Source organism: Homo sapiens, chromosome 15, assembly GCF_000001405.40.
Source record: "Homo sapiens chromosome 15, GRCh38.p14 Primary Assembly".
Taxonomy (NCBI): domain Eukaryota; kingdom Metazoa; phylum Chordata; class Mammalia; order Primates; family Hominidae; genus Homo; species Homo sapiens.
The window spans coordinates 92,463,793-92,481,115 of record NC_000015.10 but is presented as its reverse complement, the minus strand read 5'-3'; the positions used below and the strand labels follow the sequence as shown (position 1 = coordinate 92,481,115).

The following is a 17,323-nucleotide window of genomic DNA, read 5'->3' as shown; positions in this document are numbered from 1 at the left end:
CCTCACATTTCTTTTTAACAGAGAGGCAAATTGTGGAGCACCTTACTGTTTAGAGTGCTGCATTTCTTCCTGTCATTCATCTCTTCCTGTAGTTGGGAGTGAGCTCTGACTTAGGACTTCATCACACATCCTTAATTCCCATGGACAGGGTGAGTAAGAATTATTCCTTTGTTTGGAATGGAAAACCAAGTCTCCTGGAGATTGTAAGAACTTTGGTGGGATTCTGGCTGAAGACATCATGAGGTGCTTAGACTCTGCTCTTCGTGTCAAAGAAAAGTCCTTCTCTTTCCAGGCCAGAGTAAAAAAATACTGGGTCATGTTTACCTGGCTTGGTTATCTATGAAGCTACTACTGCTTTTCTTCTCAGCCTCTCTTCTCTGTCTAGTTTTACTCCATGAGACAATGGCGAGAGACTTCTATTGTCCCCGAGAAAGACAAGGAGAAAGCTGATCTGCACCTCAGTGGCCTGTGCAGTTGATCATAATCCTGGGAAACCCCATAGTATTTCCTGAAAGACTGGACTGGCGACTAGCCGACTTTCAAAGGCCATCTGCAGAACTTCTGAAGAGGCACCTGGGAAGTTAGAGCAGAGGCTTGCCAGGACTCCTCCTCTGTGCTCTAGCTTGAAGATTAACAATGTCAAGTTGAGAGTAGGCAAAAAATGTCATGCTCACAGACAGCACCAGACAACTAGGGCTCAGTTGAAGTTGGTGGGGGAGACATGCAGTGCCAGCATCAGGACCATCTGGGAAAGAACATCTAGAGAGTGGGAGACATAGCTGCATGGAAATGCTGAGAAATAAGGACACCTAAACTGAGGCCCCTGGATTGGGAGAAACTTGTCCTTGGCAGTGCACTGCAGATGCACTGCAGGAAGGACATGATAGGTTGTAGAAATTTCCTAGATTATTGTATGAAGCAGGGCAGTGTTGTGGAAAGAGCATGGGCTCAGAAATCTGACTCGTGATCCCTGGTTGGTTGTGTGTCCCTGGACAAAATTACCTAAGAAGTCTGAGCTCTATTGCCTCATGTGAAAAATGTGGGTGATATATATAAAGCTGCTCACTGTTCACAATAGGAAAGCCTTGGAGCCAACCCAAACGCCCATCAATGATAGACTGGATAAAGAAAATGTGGCACATATACACCATGGAATACTATGCAGCCATAAAAAAGGATGAGTCTACGTCCTTTTCAGGGACATGGATGAAGCTGGAAACCAACATTCTCAGCAAACTAACACATGAACAGAAAACCAAGCACACATGTTCTCACTCATAAGTGGGAGTTGAACAATGAGAACACATGGACACAGAGAGGGGAACATCACACACCAGGGCCTGTAAGGGGGTGGGGGGCTAGGGGAGAGATAGCATTAGGAGAAATACCTAATGTAGATGATGGGTTGATGCGTGCAGCAAACCACCATGGCACGTGTCTACCTATGCAACAAACCTGCACGTTCTGTACATGTATCCCAGAACTTAAAGTATAATTTTTTTAAAAAAGCAAATTATATATATATATGGCTGTTAACATAGTTCTTAGAGAATTGTGGACCTCCGATGTACTGGATTTAGGAAACTAACATTCATTGCCACTCCCTTCAAAGCTCTTTGCCATATTTGTGTGGTTGGAATTCTGGGAACTGTTGCATTTCCTGGCATCCCATACCAGCAAGACTCTGACTGGGACTCCACCAATGGGAGGCACCCATGCATGATTTGAAAAGCAGAAGAACAACAGAGGTCATTCTTATTCCTGCAACAAGACAGAATCACCTGGGAGTCAGGAAACAGTAGACCTGCCGGAGGTTTCGCCAGTGGCTTACGGGACCTCCTGCTACAGTTTACCCTCTTTTGGGTGGTGAGAGACACAGGTTCTGGTGGCAGCTTCCTGAGGTTCCTGTATGTTCTAATTTCCTGAAATTAGTGGTAGTTTTTTCTGACTTTCATTCTCTTAGTTCATCCAACAGTGTGGTAAGCCTCAAATTATCTGCATTAAATCCTTCTTTATTTGAAATGCTTGGAGAAGTTTCTGTTTTCCTGACCGAATCTTACTAACATATCTGCAGAATAAAGTGCAAAAAAATGCAAAAAGAAGGTGAGAATGAGTAGTCTTATATTTTCTTAGTAAGAAAGAGAAACATTTGAATATCTGAAGGATAGACTCCGGGGACTCTAATTGGAACAACTGAGGTTGCTCTAAGAATTGGGAAGACTTGGCTCAGGTTTAGCCAGTAGAGCTCGAGGAAGAGAGGATGGGAAATCATAGGCATCGCAGTAAGAAGTGAGATTTCAAAATATCTGTAGATATTATCTATATTATCTTTATCTTATTTATAATCTTATTTATAAATAAGATAATTAAAGAAATATTTATCTTTCCCTGCTGCTGGACAAGGGATTCTTAACAGTGGAATGATCTCAAGAAGAATAAATTTAACAAAGAAAAATGTAACCCAAATGGAAAAATCATCTTCCTAGTGCTGATGCACATGAGACTGTAGCCGGAGAAGAGATGATTGAAATAAAGAGATTTACTCCATAATAGATGTGCACCCATATGACCTGCGGGGAGAGGAAGAAATCTATAATCTCAACAAAACGATAGCTTTTTAATGTTTTGCTGGACAAACATCCTGACCCCTTTTAAATGAATGTTATCCAAATCCCATTCAACTAGCCTTTTTGGAGTTTGCTAAATTATACAATTTGTCTTCCCCTTATCTGCAGAGAAGCATGAAGCCCCTCCTCCTGTCCAGACCACAAGGCACTTCTCAGAGAGGGTCTTAGGCTGTACCCTGGCATAATAGAAAGCCCATAATTTTGATACATTCAGCAATGTGATTGTCAATCAGCTCCTGCTTGCGAATGTTCCCTTCGCCTCCTTCTTCCATGCAGGTTTTAGGTAAAGGACAAAGCCTTATTTTAAACTCTGAGTCTTTATCTTATTTTCTACACAAAATCAATCAAGATAAGGGAGCAAATATGAAGAGAGACTTCATCAAGTAACAGGGATGTGTCTCTTCCATTATCAGTTGATGGCTACTCAGATTGGGGTTGAGAGAAGCAATTTCAGTGTTACATACTATCAAGATGGTTCCTCATATCTGAGATTTTATTTTCCTTGGAGTCTTGAATGCACTTCCTTCGGCACTAACACCAGCTGGAATGGAGTGCCTGGGGGTTGGGGCCCAGGAAATTCCTGTCTTTACCCATCTGGACTGCCCCAGGAATGATTTCTTTGGAGGCTCCCCAGGAAGAGTCAGGGGTCAGCCACTCTGGGGTCTACTCGGTGTGTGGGGTCAGAGAGAAGAATCACAAGCAGACTTGAGCTAGGGGAGGTTATGGCAGGGTGAGCCCAAGATGGACAGGCAAATGAAGCCGCTATACCTGAAGCCTGGGCACAGTGAAGCCCATGGCTGAGGAAATGAGAGGGAGCAGACTTCGCGCCCGGGAAGATGAGAGGGCCATCTTGGACGTAGTCAGAGGAGCTTGTGGTTGCTGGGTTGGGCTCTGACTTTTGTGTGCCTTTTATTAGTGACCTTGGATTCCCATGCCAGCCTGCCAGTCATGACTTAAGGGCATCCAGCTCCCTCTAATGCCTACTTTTTCTGTAGGCAAATTTAGTTTTACCCAAATCTACTGTTGGGTAGATTTGATGAGAAAAGCTATTATTTTGGAGGAAGCGTGTATATTAGGACAAGTAATGAACATGTATTTGTTTAGAAATGATTTAGGCGGCTTGTAAAGGAATAGTGTTATTTTTATATGTGTGTGGGCATAGTTCTGTTATGTTGGTAGAATTAAAAGTGTTAAGTAAATCAAGAGAGTGGGTCTCATTCTATAAGGACTAGGAGAAAGTGATGTGATGAAGAGGGGAGAGCCACTTAGCAAGGCCACGTGTGGGGTGACCCAAAGCACAGGTGGACGTTGAAAGTCGAACAGAGGGTGCAGCTGAGAACATGCCAGGCAGCCCCCACCCCATGCTGGTGGCTGTGGTTAGAGACAGTACTGGGCCCCACTTGCCCAGCTCAGTGATCTGTGGAGCAGCCACCACTTTCATCCTCAGCTCCCCATTTCTTTCCACTTTGACTCCCACAGGAGGGTAGTTGGAAACATCCATCCTCCCCCAGAAACACCAGGAGAAAACTGATCTGCATCTCAATTGCTTCTGCAATTGACAGTAAGCCTAGGAAACTATAGCATTCCCTCAATGGCTGGCCTGGTGACTGGTATTACAATCAGAAGATCCATAAACAAACCATGAAAACTATGATTAGAAGTGGAGCATTGAGGTCTCATTATACCTTGGGGGAGGGTGCAGAGGAAAGAGAATGAAGGCATGAAGGGGTGGACTTGGGTTGGACAAAAACAAGGTGAGGCTGCAGGTCTCAATGTTGACTGTGTGGGCACCTGCCTCTCCCTCCTCTGGCATCGCTGAGACCATTATCCACAAATCAAGGGCCTCGTGAATCGAGCTGGCCTCACCTGGGGCATCATCACGACCTAGTAGGGAGGCTGGGCAATGGTGGCAGGGCTTATTCCCCTGGTGGCTTTTGTAAATTGGCCAGGGTTGGCAGCAGTGTGATAGCTAGCGTCTTGAATGCTTCTTCTGTTCCTTGCTGCCACTGAAGAGGGTGGAGGTTTCCCAGAAGGGTAGACCAGAGAGTCAACATCCCACTATCAAAATCCCACTCATTCTTCAAGGTCCAGCTTATCTATCACCTTCTCTGTGAATCCTCTGAACCCCCTCAGTTGGTTGGATTGGCATTTCCTCTTTATTTCATTCTGCCATTGGCTGTGCATAATTGTTCCCCCCTTAGACTTGAGCTTCCTGAGGCAGGGACTGTGTGTCCTACAACGTCCACAGCAGGCGTAGTTCATTGCTGGCTCTCAGTGGTGTCTGTGAAGCTGGATGAATGAATGGAAGCACATACTCTTTGGCACACACATGGAGACCTCTTCTTGACCTATTCTTGTTGAGATCTATTGGGTGGCGCATCAGTGTAGGTTGTGTACTATGCATGTGTACTAAACCTCACAGCCCTGCAGCTAGAAGGGTGCGAAGCTTTGGATGTGGGGGTATGAGGGTCAGAGTGTCCCAGCCTTCACTCTTCCCCTGCAGCCTGTGTCTGTAGAGGAAAGGAGAGCTCCCTTCATGGGCACATGAACTACGTTCCTAAGGCTTATTTCAAAGTTCTGCTTCCATTCGGCAGTAAAGATGGTCCTAGAGAGAATGGATAAGTTAAGGAGGAAGGCATTGAAATGGGTGAGTTGGGGAAACAGCAGCAAGTATTCAAAGGCTACCCTCTCCTCTGTGAAGCTTCCCCTGAAGTGCCCTCTCTGGTGTAACCTCCTGCAAGTAGAGTTCCGGGCTCCTTTCCCTCTGTGCTCCCTCTCTCTACACAGCAGTATGCTCATTGTTCTACAACAGCTCTTACAGTGCTCTCCTGTGTCTGCTCTCTCTCCCCCTCCTACCACTGCATGGCAAGTCCCCATAGGAGCAAACACAGGGTGTTCATATGCCAGGACGTCTAGTGGACACTCCCTGATGTTTCTTAAATGAATGGGTGAAGAAATCCCCTCGAAATTCATAGGTTGAAATCCTAGCCCCCAGGTGATAGTATTAGGAGGTATTAGGAGGTGGGGAGATAATTATGTCATGAGGGTGGGACGTTCTTGAATGAGATTGGTGACCTTATAAGAAGAGACATGAGACACCAGAGCTTGCCTCTGTCTCTCTGCTTTCTGCCATGGGAGAATATGGCAAGAAGACGGCCATCTGCAAGCCAAGAAACAAGCTCTCACCAAGAACTGAACCTGCTGGTACTTTGATGTTGGACTTTCCAGCCTCCAGAACTGTGAGAAATAAATGTTTGTTGTTTAAGCCACCAAGTCAATGTTATATTTGTTATAGTAGCCTAAACTGACTAAGATAGAGAGGAATGAATGAACGAATGAATAGGCTTCAATTGCTATACAGATTAGGGAGGCAGAGATTCCTAGAAGCAAGTTTCAACCTGAGTTTGATCCCTGTTCTGCCACTTACTAGCTATGGGACAAGCCATGGGCCTTGTCCATAAAATAGAGATAAATAACACCAGCCTCACAGGGGGTGGTGGAGGAATGAGTGGCCTAATCAAAGTGCTCGATGCCATAGCTGGCACACAGCAGACACTCAACAAGTGGAAGGTATGATGGCTGGTTACTTGACTCATTTAGGGTGCTGCAGGAACACAAAGCCATTCCAACATTCAATGAGGTGCTGACATTAGATTGAGGGTGCTGTCTGTTCTATCCCTGTGCTCCTAACTGTGGCTCTCAGGTAGAGGGAGACAGAGATTTCTGTTCCCTCAGTTGTTCAGGCCTAGAAACTGAGGTCTGGGGAGCCTACTTGTTGAGTAGCCAAAGATGAAAGATTTCAGTAAACTGGAAAGCATTCATCCATTCATTCAACAGGGATTCATTCATTATTGGGCACCTACTGCATGCCAGGCCATGCCTGCTTGCTTCAACAGTGAAGAAGGTAGGCTGAGCTAGGTACAAACTGAGTAGAACTTGCCACCAACTAGTCCTTGCCCCCTTGGCCTGAGAAAGCAGCCCCAGAGGAGAAGCAATGAGTTGCCAAGCATCTAATGCTCTGAGTGGGTGAAGAACTTAAGGCTGTATATCTAGTTTAATCACAAGAGCAACCCAGCCCGGCAAGCTTTTAATTTCCACTTTACTGATCATTGAGTGGCTGGATCCACTCTGCTCAGTCAGGAAGCTGAGGAGGCAGGGGTAGGGCCTGGGCCATCTGAGGTCCCCTATTTTCCCTGATGCTGCAAAGGAGGGCCTGATACCCCTTCCCTGCAGTAACCCAGCCTGATGCAAACACTTAATTTCAAGGCAAGCTGTTGGAGCAAGGGAGCCGATTAGGTGAGCTGGTAGCGTCTTGTAGCATTCAAGGACAATGCCCTGCACTTTAGCAGCCCATTTCGCTCTCCAGCTCTTCATTCGTTTGCTCTGTCCTCTGCTTTGTTGATTTCACTTCTCGCTTCCAGGCTGGCCTCTGCCAGAGAGTGATTCCACATTTTCCCAGCAGCCTGGCTGCCTCCCATCTCATCCTCAGACACTGAGCCAAGTGGCCCGGTATGTGCAAAGAAGGATGCTCAGCTTCCCTGGCAAATTCGAAAGGCAGCCGCAGCAGCCATGGGCCCAGGGCTATGTAGCCTGAGCCTGTCGCTGGTTCTGCACTAGGAGCATTTCCACTGGGTGGACCCGGGTGACAGCTGGGGTCGGAGAGGCGCTGGCGGCTGAGCCAGGTGTGGGGACAGCAACTGTGGGAACTGGCTGGATCACTCACCTACGAAGTCTAATGCTGTGGGTTTGGCTTGATCTCAGGCCTCAGTTTCTAGGCCTGAGCAAAATAGGTACATTTCTCTGTCTCCCTGTACCTGAAAGCTGCAGTTAGGATCATAGTGATAGAACAGACCACACCCCTAAATTAATGTCAGCACCTCATTTAATGTTGGCATGGCTTTGTCTTTCTGCAACACCCTGAGTCGAGTAGCTAGCTACCTTCCATTAGCTGAGTGTCTGCCGTGTGTCAGCCACTGCACTGAGCACTTTGACTAGACTGCTCCTTCCTCCATCACCCCCTCTGAAGCTGGTGTTATTTATCCCCATTTTATGACCTTCATCAGCTTCAGTGGCTGCAGATCAAGGTCAAGCTTAGAGGCTTCCTGCACCACTCTGGAACCTGAGGGCTTCAGTTTAAATTCCTGCTCAACCATTTCCCAGTTTTTTGGCCTTGGGGAAGTTTATCAACCTCTTGGTTCAGTTTCCTCCTCTGCAGAGTGAGAATAATAATAATGTCAACCTCAAATGGGTAGCTATGAGAATTAAATGATCTAGCCCATGTAAAGCGTCTAGTTAGTGCTCAGTGAACATTTCCTGTTCTTTTCTGGTCCTCAGACCCTCTTTCTGTTTCTGTCATCCTCTGGCCCTTCACTGTGTACCTCTCAGAGGCTATTCAAGGTGATGGTTTGCTCATTACCAGTCCTGGCTGACTCTCATAAGATGCCTCTTCTGGTGCCTCTCTATGCTTCCGCAATTGAATTTGCAATCTGTACACACATCAGCTACACAGAATATCTGCTTTGGGTCGAGGATGTGTCTGTGGAAAACAAGAGAGGAAAGCCAGTCACCCAAAGTAGCTGCCACAGAAACAGCAGTGCAGTGAGGCTCTGGTGTCTTGCCCAGTGGTCTAAACGCCCAAATCGGCCACCTGGCCCCTAGTTTCTTGCCTGGAGAACCTGGGAGCAGGGGTGATATGCAAAGTATTTACCAATACAGAGGGCCCCTGACCAATCAGAATGGACCTTGGCCACAGTGCTGGAGCACAGGGCACAGGGGGTGCTCAGAGCTGTGGCTCTTGACCACCTGGCAAGGAAGCATTTGAACAATTGACATTGCTATACAGGTGTGCTCTGGGTCTGTATCTGCTTTGCCAGTGGGAAGAGCCAGGGTGGAGCAGTAGCCTGTGAGGAGTCTGGGCTATAGGAAGGTGAGTTCTGTCTTCCTGTCACTCCTGAGTGCAGGCTCACCTTATGACAAGATGGTTGAAGGTTGGTAGAATTAAGTGGCCTTCAGGGCTTTTGAGCTGAGATGGTGTTAACAATGTTGGCTTCAGCATCAAACCATCCACTCGTGAGCTTTGGCATCTTAAATGAGTCTTTAATTTCTGATAAACTTGGTTGTTTGATCTGTAAAATGGGTGCAACACCCCAACAAGGGCTAGTATAGAAAGCATCTCACACAGGGTCCAGACACATGGCCTCGCCGAGAAAGGGGGAGCCGTTCCTTCTCCTCTTGGGGAAGTCTTGGTGTTCTTCCTATTAGGTGGGACCCCTTCCCCACTCTGGGGGTCAGCCGGGTGCAAGTCTTCCTTTGAAGCATCCACACTTGTTCTTTTGTTCATGCAGCAGGAGTTTATTAAGTGCCTACTCTGTGCCAAGCACAGTTCTAGTGGTCAGGAATGCCTCGGTGAACATGCCAGACAAGGCCCCTCTCCTCACAGAACATGAAGGGGAGGCAGAGAACATGGTAGACAGGCCTTTCCTCCCACTGCAAGCATGCAGTAATCCGGAGACCTGGATGCCACTAACACAACGGCAGTGGCAAAAAAACCCACCAGACAAAACCGAGCCCAGCCTGGAATCAGGAAAGGAAACTCTCAGAAGCCAGAAGCAAAAGAAAGACCTCACACCAGGGGCCTGAGAGGGGCTGCCATGGAAGCGGTCACAGAAATTCAGGAACTGAGTCTGGGTCAGTGGTTCCCAGCTGGGGCTACACCTCTGTGTGACCTGGTGAGCTTCAGGAGATGCCCGGGCCATACCCCAGACCAAGGAATCAGATTCCCTGAAGGCCAGACCTAGGTTTCAGGAGGTTTTAAAGCTCCTCCAGTGGTTCCAATGTCCAGCTGAGCTCATAAAGGTCTTTGGGGTGGGGCTAGGGGGTGGAGTTCTAAAGCCTGCACAAGCCAGGAAAGAGCCTCCTGGGTAAGGCAAGGCTCATGAAATTCTCTGAGTGGGTCAAATGGGGACTGGAAAAATTCCACCCACTAGCTCAGCTAATGGGTAAAAATGCTGGACATTTATCTGGAGCTGCAGGGGGTAAAGTGTCATCCTTGGGAAATTCAAAGCTGGCCTGTACCTGCTGAGAGCACCAGGGATATGGTCACATTGCAAGCCTGTTGCCAGCACCCCAGGCAGAGTCATCAACAATTACTTTGGAGGAGGGCCACTTCCACCTTCCAGGGCATAGGTGACCCCTGTGGAAAACAAGTACCCCTGGAACATCCTAGAAGTGGAGGTGGACCATAAACTAGTGAGCAGATATGTCATTGTTTCTCAGTTCTGACCGTGAGCCAGGAAGATGTCCGTGATCAGCTTCCAGAGATGTTTAAACTTGTGTGGAGTGTGGCCTGAGCACTGGGATCTTTTAGGAGGGTCCTTGGGGTTGAGAACTACAAAATAAATGAGATAATTTAGTTTATGAAGACCACCTAGCAGGATAATGTGTCGTGTAATAGAAAGTAATTAGCTGAGGGAGACAAGGAGCAGGCTCCCCAGGAGGTGACATTCAATTTGAAGCATGAAAGATGAGACAGAGAGGGAAGGCAAGGAGCTGGGAAGCAGATTTCCAGGCAGAGGGCGCAACAAGTGCAAAGGCCCTGACACTAGAATAACAGGGAGCCAGAGGGAGGAGGGCTCAAGGTCTTGTAAGCCATGGTAAGATGCTTGGAATTTTCTTGCAAGGATGAAGGAAAGCCACTGAGGGTTTAAGCAGGGCAATGGTGTGATCTGATGTTGGACAAGCAGAATCCTGAAAACTCACAGCTGCATACATTTCACTTGCTTTATACCACTGAGCATCCCCACTCCCTCTACCCAATTTCTCTATCTACCTTGTCCTGTATTTGCATTTTTGCAATAACTGCATAAAGGAGGTCGGTAGGTGTCTTCTCCATTTTACAGATGGAAAAATACCAGAGCCAAGTCTCATTCATGCCCTCTAGGTTCTTGAGTGGCAGGCTTTCAGATCATCTGGTACTCCTTCCAGAGCTCCTGACCAGAGATGGGGCATTTGTGAACACAAGATACAGCCAAGCAACCTGTCCCGCTGTTGTTATTACAGTGAGTTATATTCTTGCCCACCTAGGCCACTGGAATGAGAATGCAGTAAAACAGCTTGCCTCAGAGTGGTCTTCCCTGGAACACACAGCTTCTGTTAAGCATTCATGATTCTGACGGGCCAGTCATCCCTTCATTGACTTTGTCCAGCAGCTCCACCATTACAGTCTCATTTTAGAAAATAAAGACACTTGGAAACAAATTGAAAGGGCGTTTTCCTGCACCAACCCCATTTGACTTGCCTCAGCATGCTGAATGGAGGGCTGCACTCCCCCCATGACTGCCTGGACCCATCACTCTAGGGTCCATGTGGGTTGCATGGCAGTCCTCCACTTTTTGGCCATTGGATCCTCATTTTCTATTAATTCCTTAAGGGATGGCCGCTCATAGCTGGTTCTGGGTCAGTTTTGGAGAATGCTTTTAAATATTTAAAAATGTTGTCATGACTGGAGAACTTGAGGTCTTTGTTGGCATGGTTCTTGGAAGCCCACAGTAGCCCCATTTCCCATCCCCCAGGTTCTAGGGAAAGGTGGCTGAGGAAATGGTGAGGAAGACTGAGAAAGGCCACAAGGGACCTTTAGTGCTCTTTGTTGGGTGGTTCTATTGGGCTTTGGCTGCAGACAGCTAGGACGATTCTAGAGAAACTATGATCTGGGGCTGGATGGCTCAGTGGACTATATATGGAAATTGCCCTGTCACCTGGATTGCTAAGAACAGAAATTACATTACCCCCATCATAAAGCCCCAAACAACTAAGATATTGCTTCTAGATGGTAACCATGGAAACATCCCATTGTTGTGGATGACCTGCCACCAGAACAAAAGCCTGTTTTTTTCTGCTTCCATGAGGAGTGGCATATAGTGCTCCCCACTCCACACTCCCCTCCTTTCCTGCTGTCTCACAGCATTGCTCCAGGTCAGGGCTCAGGGACCCAAGAAGAAGGGATACCACTCAGCTCTCTGGGCTCACTCTGCTCCTGGTGAATGCCAAGGGAAGAGCCCTGAAGACAGGAAGCAAAGAATAGAGATAAAGATGAGAAGAGATGACATTCGGCAGTGTTGGTGAGAGACAGAGGCTGGGGCAGGCTGTCAGTGTCATTGGGGATAGCATTAAGGACATTCATGAGGCAGTACACATGTCTGGAGTCCCATCTGACTGGCATCAGTAAACATCCTCTTCCATTCATTCTGGAGAGGGAGCCTTAATTAGGCATGAAGAGATTTATCAAAAAGCAGCCCCCTGGAGTTGTTAGTCTCCCTGCCATCTGGAAGGATGGTTTCCTACCCTCAACAACAGCAGTGGGAATGACTGATGGGGTCCTATAACTCCACCTCCCAGGACTCGTAAAACCCAAATGGCTTTCGTCCTTCCCAGAAAGGAGTGAGATTTTGCCTGTGCTGATGGGGTTCATGCTGAGGTTTGTTGGGTCTCTGTGTCTAGGCCTCTGCATAGGGCTAGTTTTCAGTTTACAGTGATCCAACCACAAAGATGAACAGGAAAAGCCCTGAAGTGAGGATGAGAAGACCTGGATGAACATTCTACCAGGAAGCCGTGAGGCTTCATGCAGGTTTTTGGCCTCAGTTTTATGACCTATACAACGGGGATAATGATTTCTGCTTTGGTCCAACCCACATGATTTTTCAGAGGTTCTTGTGATATTATAGATGCAAAATGACTTCCTTAAGTATAAAGCCCTCTACAGGTATTAAGGATTTAATCCAACAAACATTTATTGAGCAACTGCTGTGTGCTATGCACCACGCCTAGTGCTGTGATGGATACAGATGAATAAAACACAGTCCCTGCCCTTGGCAAGCTTACAGTCTAAGAACAGTCAAAGGACAAGTGCACAAATAACTATAATACAAGGCAGAATATGGTAAGTGCCATGAGAAAGGTACAAATAAAGTGCTACGGTGGTTCAGCAGAGGGAGAGATCCCAGTGGTTGGTACATCAGGGAGGGCTTCATGAAGGACGTGGTTTCCGCATGGGCTTTGAAGGGAAGAAAAGGGAGCATTCCAGGGGATGGGGATAGCAAGACCAAAGGCACAGAGACAGTAAAACGCAGGCACCCTTTCCAGGAAAAACAACTCTCCTAGGCTGACCAGGGGAGGGTGTAAAGGAAGAATGGGGCCTTATCCGGTGGTCTGTAATGTCAGAATAGAGAATTGTACATTTGTTCACGGGCCGGGGAACTTTTAAAGGTTTGTGTGCAACGGGAGAGGAAAATCACTGTGCATGTTCAGGATGGACGGGACCACGTGTCAGTGTGCACAGAGGTAATCTGGGAGATGAGACTGTTGCTGAAATAGTCCAAGTGACAAAGAGTCGAGATTAGTGCTAGTGGGAAGAATTAGCAAGGCAGGACAGGGAAGAATAGTCGAAGATAACGTCAGCATCTCAGACTGGGTGGCTGACGGGATCACGGGTCTTTTACTAGAAAAAGGAGGGATTGTGGGGGAAGGGGACACAGATGATCCACTTGGCTTCTGACTTGTTGAGTTGATGGTGCTGCCGTGGGAGCAGATGGGGTGAGTGTCCCTCCAGCGGGTGTAATCCCAGCCTAGAGCTCAGGAGAGGGCTGGGTTGCAGAGAGGAGCTGGGGCAGGGGCAGCTTAGGAAGTTGCAGCCGGGTCTGAAGGCAGGTGTGAGGTTGCTGATGGAGAGTGCGGAGGGACTCAGGAGAGGACGCCAGTGTAAGGCATGTCCATGTGGTGGGACAAGGAGAAGAGAGGGGAATACTGGTCAGATCTACCTTGATTCCTTTGTCAATCAAAGTAGGGGTTTCAATAAATAAATAATAAATAAAAAAATACATACATATATAAATAAATACATGGTTGAGAGGGATTGGGAAAGAAGGAGGAAAAAAACACAAGAATGTGGCATTCTGGGTGCCGAGGGGCCAGGGAGCGTCTAGGAGGGGTCGCTGCAGAGCCAAGTGGCGTGGAGAGCTGGGAGGTGAGAGGGGCAATGTGGAGGCGCTGGGACGCTGCTGCCAGGCTGGGGGGAAGCCGAGGGGCATCAAGAGGAAGGGCAGTTGTGGGTGCTGGAGGCCCTTCCTGCGGCTAGTGGAGGAGGTAGGGAAGAGGCGGCAGGAGCCAGCCCAGGTGGAGTCAGTGTGTGCTGATGTGCAGAGGCAACAGAGATGGACGAGAGAGGGTGAGGGTGTACAGGAAACGTTAACTGGTGGGGATGACGTTTCTCAGAAAGGGGAAGGAGAAGAGATTTTCAGGGTAGATCTCATTTCAGAAGGCTCCGTCTCTTCCATGAAGTGGAATGACAGGGGCCTGTTGGGGCTTGAGGTGAATGGAGGTCGGAACCACTCGGGTGGCTGATGGCGGGCAGGCTGGGTATCTGACAGGTGGCAGGAGGTGACAGAGGGGTGCCTGTCAGCAGTGAGGGCTGGCTGAGGGTGGAGGCCCATTCTCCCGGGATGCCTGTGACCCTGCAGTTACAGCAGAGGATCTCGGGGCCGGGTACAGACTGTGTGACTCCCTGGGGCCACCCAACACCAGCTGGCCCACACCAGGAACTGCAGTGGAGGCTCAAATTGAACTCTGAATGGGCAGGGAAGGACAATTGGCCCAGATGGAGAAGGACAATGAGCCAGAGAAAGCCAAGGCCCCTGGAGCTCCGCCATCAAATGGCCAGGCCATTTTGGTAGTGCAGGACTCAAGCCGAGGAGGGGAACGGTGCACATGTTGATTGTCCTGGGGTCTCTAACCTTTCTCCAGAGAGAACCTGAAGGCAGGGTGGAAGGACTCCTTGCACTCCAGCTCATATCAGCTTCAATTTTAGGAGCCATGACTAAGATAGGCAGAAGGAAAACCATGTTCTGGTCCCCCAAGGAGTTCTGGCCCTTTGACTCCCCTGCAAAGGGATGGTGGGGTGCTGGCTTGGTGGATAGAGCTCAGGGCCAACTCCAGAACCTGACATGTAGGTTCTCCACAGTGCTTACCATGAAACATTCTGGAATCCAAGGCCTTGGTTAATCCACCAAGGCCCTGCTGGAAATTCTACCTGCTCCTCGGGGCACTTCAAGCTTTAGAAATTAAATGTCTTCTACGGTCTTTGAGATCCTCAAGATGAAAGGCTCTGGAGATGTATAAAATATGGTATTAATTATTTCCACCGCCTGTGAGGAGTCCGAAACCACTCAGTTCCCACAGAGGCTATTAGGGCTGTTGCTTTTTAAAATATTCATTTTATAACGCAAATCCCCAATCACAGACTTCAAGCAACAACAAGGGAAAATGCAGAGATATATCACCTTCCTCACGGTTTTGGGCTGGAGTGTTCTTGTGTAGGGTTAATGGTTCTGCCGCCTCCAATCCCTTCCGGTCAACCATTAATTTAGAGCCAAGGTCCTGTTCTGCATTGCCATTGATTAATTACATCTGGTCTCATATGCTTAGGAGCAGGTCTTGATTACTTTTCTTAACTCCCTTCACCTTCAAGATGGTAGTTTTTTACTTACCTTTCAAATATGTTTTAAAACACTGTTATTCATCAGGTGAAGGAATACGACTAACAAATTCAAGCTGGCTATTTCTCTATGTGAGACCTGTGATTCCAGCCCCTAAGTTGTAGGCCTCGAGCCCAGATTTCCCTGGGAGATTATGTCCACTATTTGGAACTGCATTTGGCTTTGGGTATTTTTTTTTTAATCTTAAATATTAATCTCAATAAGGGGAAAAGAATTTTGCAAAATTCTAAAATTGCTTCTGTGGGAAGAGGCGGGTACCTGGGGGTGGGGTGGACATTGGAACCTCTCCCTGCAGAGATGAAAACCTCAATGTCGGAGCTTGGGGTGGGCTAGTGTGACCATCAGGGTAGGAAAGTGACAAGAAAGTAACATTGACACAGCAGTCTGGCTGCAAAGGCCCCGCAGAGTGCAGAATGCAGAAGGCAAACAGAGAGTGGTTGCAGGGACATGGAGCTAGATGCTGAACATTCTTTCAGGTCTCACACTCTGGGGCTCTGTGAGGCACCCAAAAAGGCAATCATATGTATTTTAAGAAGGATGACATTTATCTTGACAGCACCCTTTCAAGCTCTCATTGTGGCTTCCCTGGTGACAGAGGGGACAGTACAGTCCCTCGTGACATTCTAACAGGGTGAGACAGAGACTAACCCAGAGGGTGAAATCCCAGGGTCTCTTCCTCCTCAGTGGACTCACATTGCTTTAAAAAACACCCAAAGCAGCTAGATTTTAGACACTCTCCTGCCTTATTCTAGGGTCAAGTGGGCCCTTAACAGGAGGTCTTGATTTTTCAAAAACATGATTCGGAACATTACTCCTCTTCATTGTCATCTGCTTGCTTCACCCAAAGTTCTTGGTGGCTCTTGCTAAGCCAGAACATGAACCATCCATTGTGTCTCCTCCAGCCTTCTCTCCATAGCCGTGGAGGCCTGTCTGAAACATGTGAGTCATTCGTGCTGTCCCTTAGGCAGTCAAACTCTACGTTCGTGGAACGAGGCCCTCTGTGCTGATGGGGCCTCTGCTGCTTGGTTTCCTTGTGCTCCTTTGCCCGGTTGAAGTCTCCAACCTCCCTCTCCTCCGTGAATGGCACCCACTTTAGACTGGGTCGAGTGTCCCCTCTGGGCCTCAGCTTTCTCCGAATCCACATATCCCAGAGGCTTGGGGCAGCTGACAACAGGTGGCTCGCCATTCATCCATGAGCCCAAAGATCCCTCCAAGCCAGGAGGCAGTTTGTCATCCAAAGTCATGGGACTGGCTTCTTTTCATGTCAAGTCCTTCCACCCCCAAAGATGGATTGAGTCTCAATCTGGTTCAGGTGGGTTCTCCACACCTTCTTCCTGTGGCCTATCTGCCTAATGCTAGATGAACACCACACAGTTATAAATACTCAGGTCAATATATATATGCAGGTATAGATATATATATTCTGGTCACTGTTTTACACTTTAACAAAGAAAACCACTAGCCTGCTTGTTCTATTGTTTGTGCCACCCCGACTCCCATCTGCCTGTGGTGTAGCTGGCAGGAAATGTGAGCCACTGAGTCCCATGGGGTGCCCACCCTACGTGGCCCCATCGCACTGGCCGACAGTCAGTTTCAAAGCCCCCTGCTCATGTAGGCTCTTGAGGGCCTTAAACTCCAAGGGCATGGTATGCGGGCTGGCCTGGGAGGTGTAGCCATACTTGAGGCTGTCATAATAGTGGTACTTGACTGGGTTCTGGTTCTGATCCAGCGGAAAGGGCCAGAAGCCGTAGAGGTAGATTTGTTTGCAGAAACGTGTGGCCAGGGTATACATCAAGAGGCCGGTGGTGGGTCTTTTGATGTGGACTTTGTTGGTCAGCCAGTATCTGGAAAAAAAAAAAAAAAAAAAAAAAGAAAAGAAACATGGGTCTGTGAGTCATCCTTTCCAGGAAGACAAAAATTTTATCCTGCCCAGCAGCCTGCCTTCTGCCACTCCAGGGACCGATCAAGCTACACATCCCTGGTTCCCTCCACAGAGGAGTGACAAGCACATGAAGCAACTGAACTGCTCCTTAGCCTGGATGCGGTCACAGACACGAGTTTATGAAATTCTCAAAACAAACCTGTTGTGGGTACAGATGCAGAAATGGGGCTCTGAGGTGAAAAATGGCTTGCCCAAGGTTACCTGGGTAG

At 48.0% G+C, this 17,323-nt stretch overlaps 1 protein-coding gene and 2 long non-coding RNA genes across 6 annotated transcripts in view; 1 reads left to right on the top strand and 2 right to left on the bottom strand.

Moving 5' to 3' along the window:
- C15orf32 (chromosome 15 putative open reading frame 32) overlaps positions 1 to 9,439 on the bottom strand; it is a 29,441-nt gene extending 20,002 nt beyond the window's left edge. The window contains exons 1-2 of one of the 2 annotated variants that reach the window (NR_161371.1): positions 8,594 to 9,439; positions 8,006 to 8,163 (exon numbers count right to left, since the gene is read on the bottom strand). This is a non-coding gene — a long non-coding RNA (chromosome 15 putative open reading frame 32). The remainder of the gene's footprint in view (positions 1 to 8,005; positions 8,164 to 8,593) is intronic. The other variant, NR_161370.1, reaches the window with a different exon arrangement.
- Positions 9,440 to 9,569: 130 nt separating this feature from the next.
- Positions 9,570 to 10,883, top strand: LOC104613533 (uncharacterized). Its single transcript, NR_126501.1, has 2 exons — positions 9,570 to 9,875; positions 10,710 to 10,883. It is a non-coding gene; the product is annotated as an uncharacterized LOC104613533 (long non-coding RNA).
- Positions 10,884 to 12,387: 1,504 nt separating this feature from the next.
- The window catches only part of ST8SIA2 (ST8 alpha-N-acetyl-neuraminide alpha-2,8-sialyltransferase 2), a 74,848-nt gene continuing 69,912 nt past the window's right edge, over positions 12,388 to 17,323 (bottom strand). For all 3 annotated transcript variants that reach the window (NM_006011.4, NM_001330416.2, XM_017022642.2), the window contains one exon: positions 12,388 to 17,016. In NM_006011.4, the coding sequence (NP_006002.1) occupies positions 16,731 to 17,016 (286 nt within the window). In that variant the 3' untranslated portion in view covers positions 12,388 to 16,730. The remainder of the gene's footprint in view (positions 17,017 to 17,323) is intronic.